At 40.4% G+C, this 6,000-nt stretch overlaps 1 annotated feature.

Moving 5' to 3' along the window:
* Window positions 702–961: an enhancer, noted in NCBI's record as "active region_27433". NCBI's record gives its function as "activates an Ori minimal core promoter by ATAC-STARR-seq in GM12878 lymphoblastoid cells {active_cell/tissue: GM12878}" and the evidence as "EXISTENCE:reporter gene assay evidence [ECO:0000049][PMID:35858748]".

Raw genomic sequence — 6,000 nt, forward strand, 5'->3', positions numbered from 1 at the left:
GGTGCTCACAAGGCTTCCTGCTGAGTTGCCATGGCTTGTGTCACAGTGCCCTTAAGGGCAGTTTTCAGTTCAAAGAGGTCAGATTTTGCAGAGTTATAGACAATGGAAGGGACAAATTGTCTCGATTTCCAGAACTCAAGAACGCTGTGACTTGAACACTCCTATCCTAGTCCCCTCCGCCTTCATTAGAGTCCAATGTGCCAGGCAGTGAGTTTGGAAATGGCAAACAAGGAATCAAATTTCCCACCTTGGAGGACCTCATGAGGCAGGCAGGGAGGCGTGGAAATAATTTTGAAGCATTGGAGTGAGGGCTATGAGATAGGTAAGCAGGGTGGCCACACAGTACAGGGAAATGGCACTCAGGAAATCCTGGGTGTTGGAAACTTCCCAGGGAAGCGGAACTGAAAGGACAGAAGGCAGGAAAAGCAGAGGAATGCAAACAAGAAAGGAAGTGACCAAAGCAAGGCAGAGGCATAGGGAGCAGTTCCAGTGGGCAGGGAAGTGGGAGGGTGTGGGGAGGTGGGGCTGAGGTAAAGCACCAGGAAGCCTTGCCTGCCATGCCAACTTCAACAGTCTAGAGAGGGGGCTTGCCATCATCAGTTTGGAGGTGAGGACGCTGTGGTTCAGAGAAGTGAGGTGGCTTCTCCGAGGTCACACAGTCCAGTGAGAGAGCTACGATTTAAACCAGGTCCGTCTTAATCCACTGAATGTGCTATATCAGGAGAGAAAGGTATGCTGGAGTGCAAATTTGGAGTGGGCATATTTGTGGCCTCCTGAAGGGAACAAGTGGCTAGAGGAGCTGCAGAGCTCTGCGGGGCTTGAAAGGTGTCCATAACCTTCCATTATCCACCTTGACCAGGACAGAAGCATTAGTTCATGGGAGAGCAGAATTTGGTTCCTGCAGAGTTTATCAATTCTTATAATTATCCAGAATGACTCATGTTGCGGCCAAACCAAGTGCCTTCTGCAAACGGGCCATCCAGACCAGGGTTGAGTCAGCTGCGTCAGTGGGAGCCACACGGGGCTTGTGGCCATGGTCAAGGCAAATATGTAGGTTTGTGGTCAAGGCCTTCTAGCAGGCATGAGAAATATGGGGAAGTCATGGGAGCACTTCATGCTTCAGAACTAAAGGGAGGGATTAGGAAGACAGAGCAGCAGAAGCAGGAGGTGAGCACTGGGGCATATGCAGTGCGTGTGGGTGTTTGGGGTGCTTGTTTCCATGTGGGCACTACTTCTATTGGAATGATAGTTCCACCTCTTTCCTTATGCCTTGCTCATCCCTTACTCTGTTATTTCTGCCACACCTACCGAAATCTGCTCTTATAGTACAAAAACAGCCTAGACTATATGTATATGAATGAGTATGGCTGTGTTCCAATAAAATTTTTATGGTATTGTTTTAGTACTTTCCAGCTGCTATAACAAAACACCATCAACTGAGTGACTTATAAACAACCAAAATGTACTGTACAGTTCTGGAGGCTGGGAAGCCCAAGGTCAAGGAACAAGCAGGTTCAGTGTCTGACGACGGCCTGCTTCCTGGTTCATAGATGGTTGGTTTTTTTTCTTGCTGTGTCCTCACATCATGGAACAGGAAAGGCAGCTCTCTGGGGCTTCTTTTATTTATTCATTTTGTTCGTTTTCCTTTTTAGAGATAGAGTCTTGTTCTTTCACCCAGGCTGGAGCACAGTGGTGTGATCATCACTCACTGTGGCCTTGAACTCCCAGGCTCAAGCAGTCCTCCTTCCTCAGCCTCCTGAGTAGCTGGGACTGCAGGTGTGCACCACCACACCTGGCTTGGGCCTTCTTTTATAAGGGCACTAATCTCATTTATGAGGGCTCCACTCTCATAACCTAATCATCTTCCAAAGACCCTACCTCTTAGTACCAACACAGAGGTGATTAGGTCTTCAACATGTGAATTTTCAGGGATACAAATATTCAGACCTAGGCCCCAGGCAGCTTCTGAATTAGCAGCCTGCAACAGATTGGAATTCCTGGGGGACTTCACTTAACCCTCAGTTCTCCCAAACCAGTTTTCAATGCACTGTTGCGTGGGGGCTCCTTGTTGCACCCAGCTGTGTGGCAGATGTGCTTTTTGTATCCTGGGAAGTAGCAGGAGGGTTTGGGGTAGGTCAAAAAGTTAAAATGTCAATGTTCTGAAGGGTGATGGGAGTAGAAACTTGGTGATATGAAAGACGATTTGAATTTAGATTCTTAAAAAAAGAATAAAAGCATTCTTTTATATATCTGCAATAGATAACAATTAAATAAGTCACACATGAATCATCAAAATTAGAGTGAGGGCAACGACCTCTGGGGCTTGAAAGGTGGCCATAACCTTCCATTATCCATTCATTACCATAGCAGGTACTGAAATTTGAATTTTATATAATTTTCACTTGTCACAAAATAGTCTTCTTGTGGATTTTTTCAACCATTATAAACATATAAAAACCAATCTTAATTCATAGCTGTACAAAAACAGGTGGTAGGCTGGGTTTGGCCACAGGCTGTAGTTTGCTAACCCTTGATTTAGGCAATAGTCAGGTCGCCTCTAGCTAGAAAACTTCTTAGATCATTGATCTCATCAAATACGTATTGGTTTTAAATGTAATTATTAGGAACAAACTTATTTTCAATTGGTAAGGTGTATTACACTTTGTTGTCTCTCTTTTCCATGCCTCCTTCCCACTATGTAATAGCTATACCTATCTTGTAGTCCTATATACCTTATATGTGAGGGCTAAATGACATAACATAGTGCCTGGTGCCTAGTCATATGAGTTTTCACTTCCCTTTTCTTCTAAGGTTTTGCTTGGAATCTGCCATCAGCAATGCCGAGGCCTGGCCTTGGTGGAAATGGAGGTGCTGCTTAACTTTTCTTCCAAAACATAGTACAACCCTAGTCATCCTGGTGAGTAACAAGATTGCTCCATAATCCAACCCAGTGAGTAATCCCTTTTGCTGATGGTGAGTGGTATGGAGAGAAAAACATGAAAGTGCACTGTGGAAATAATGCCAGTAGCTCCCACCAGAAATCCCTTAGGCTGTGCCTATTAGAGCTAGGGTACACATCTAGAAAATGCCCCTTTCTTTATCAGTACCCAACATATAGGACCTGTTAACCCTGCTCATGCTTTATGTACACATTGAATGTTTATCTGGCTCTTGATGCCATCTCAAGAAAGAGACTCAACACCACAAAATACTTAAGAGAAATGTATATGATATGGTTTGGCTGTGTCACCATCCAAATCTCATCTTGAATTGTAGCTCCCACAATTCCCACGTGTTGTGGGAGGGACTTGGTAGGAGATAATTGAATCTTGGGGGCAGTTCCCCCATACTGTTCTCATGGTAGTGAATAAGTCTCATGAGACCTGATGATTTTGTAAGGGGTTTCCCCTTTCGCTTGGTCCTCATTCTGTCTTGCCTGCTGCCATGTAAGACGTGCCTTTCGCCTTCTGCCTTGATTGTGAGGCCTCTCCAGCTAGATGGAACTGTGAGTCCATTAAACCTCTTTTTCTTTATAAATTACCCAGTCTCAGGTATGTCTTTATTAGCAGTGTGAGAACAGACTAATACAATATATTTTACTGAAGATATTGTGAACATCAACAGGAAGAATCCACAATGCATTTCACACTGCAAAAATACAGTAAAACACCCCCATTACACATATTTCTTGATTTTCAAAAAGCATTTTTCTTTACCAGCTTTCTTATCTCCCTTTCTTTTCTTGCTTCAAAACACTCTATTCTCTGAGCAATTCAGCTCAGTGTTTCTTGTTCTAACAGAGCATTCTGCAAGGATCATGTTCCTTCTTCCACATATTCATCCTTTAGATGTTTCTTTCATGAGAAGCTATGAGTGGTAAACTGTCTTGGTTATTGTTTCACCAAAATGTTTTTATTTTGCTATCATTCTTGAAAGGTAACATTTCTGAGGACACAGTTCCAGATTGACAATTATTTTTTTCAGCCTTTGATGACATGATTCCATTGTCTTTGTGCTTTGTTATTTCTGACAGAGGTCTGCTGTCAGACTATAGTCATTTTGTAGTAGATGAGCTATCTTTCATTTCATGTGACTTAAACCATTTTCTCTTTTGCTTTGGTGTTTTACAGTTTCACCTGATGTGCCTAGTGTGTGTGACTATTATTATTATTATTATTATCATTTTTTGAGATAGGGTCTCACTCTGTCACTCAGGCTGGAGTGCAGTGGCATGATCTAGGTTCACTGCAGTCTTGACCTCCTGGGCTCTAGTGATCCTCCCACCTTGAGACCCTGAGTATTTGGGACCACAGGCACATGCCATCACACCTGGCTAATTTTTAAATTTTTTTGTAGAGCTGAGATCTCATTATGTTGCCCAGGCTGATCGCAAACTCCTGAGCTCAAGCAATCCTCCTGCCTCAGCCTCCCAAAGTGCTGACATTACAGGTGTGAGCTGAGGTGCGTAGCTATATTTGGAAATTTGTCCTGCATTATTCTTCCTGTCTCTGAGGATTCATGTCATTCATTAGTTCTAGAATTTCCTTAGCCACTTTCTTTTTGGAATGTCTCTCCCATTGTTTCTATTCTTTCTTCTGGGACTCCGGGTGTATGTTAGAACTTCTCATTCCTCCCTTTTTCTTACTCATTGTATTCTCTCATCTTTTTCTTGCTGCATTCTGAGTGTTTTCTTAAGATCTGTCTTCAGTTCACAAATTCTTTAGTCATTCATGTTTATTTTGCTGCTTCACTTATCTATTAGTTTATTTATCTTTGCATTCATTCATCTATGTATCTTTCATCTACACATGTACACGCATATATATGTAGTTTAATGCATGTTATTTTAATTAGATATAGTTTTATTTCTATAAATTCTATTTGGTTCTTTGTTAAATCTGATCATTTTTGATAGTCTTCTTTTTCTTATTAATTTCTTTCTATCATCTTTTATTTCTTTTAATATCTCTCTCATATATATAACCATAATAAAAACATAAACATATATATACAAATATATATATACAGATATACACATAAATATATATATACACAAATATATATACATATATTTGTGTTTTTATTATGGTAAAATATATATTTATATTTATGCTTATATTTATAAATGTTGAAAGAAATAAAAAGTGATAGAAAAAAATTGATACAAAAATACACAAGTATATTTGTGTTTTTATTATGGTAAAATATATATGCTATGGTTTGACTGTCTCCACCAAAACTCGGGTTGAAGTTTAATTGCCATTGTAACAGCATTAAGAGATAGGGCCTTTAAGAGGTGTTAGGTTATGATGGCTCTCTCTCATGAAGAGGATTAATGCCATTATTGTGAGAGGAGGTTAGTTATGGAAGGAGTGGGTTTCTGTTAAAAAGAAATTTGGCCTGATTGGTCTCCGTCTTGTGTGCTTGCTTCTGCCTTTTTCCATGGGATGACCCTTGCCAAATGCCAGTGCTATGCTCTTGGACTTCCCAACCCCCAGACTGTGAGCCAAATAACTTTAAAAACCAAATTACCCGGTCCATGATATTCTGTTAGAGGAGCAGATAACAAACTAAGACAATACATAACATAAAATTTAATATGTTAGCCTTTAAGTATATAATTCAGTGGCATTAATTACCTTCACATCATATATAGTTATATTCTATATCTGATAATTCTAATATTTGAAGTTGTTGGAGTTTCAATCATACTTGCTGTTTCTGTTGACTTCCACTTATAGTCATTGGCTGTCTTGAGGTTTGGTAAAATTTTTCTCTTTTTAAAACATATTTAATTGAACTTAAACTGTTGGGAATCCTCATGTAACTGTGTAATGAATGCTTTGTTCTGGAGATGTGCACTTCCCTCTGCCAGACATTTATTTTCTGTGTTTGGAGTTTTCAAGATTCACTGGGCAGTAAAAATTTGAACCTGAGACCTATGTAAAAATTGTAACTAGCAGTCTCATAGTTAAAACTTTTCAGGGGAGACCATCATTA

Source organism: Homo sapiens, chromosome 8, assembly GCF_000001405.40.
Source record: "Homo sapiens chromosome 8, GRCh38.p14 Primary Assembly".
Classification (NCBI taxonomy): domain Eukaryota; kingdom Metazoa; phylum Chordata; class Mammalia; order Primates; family Hominidae; genus Homo; species Homo sapiens.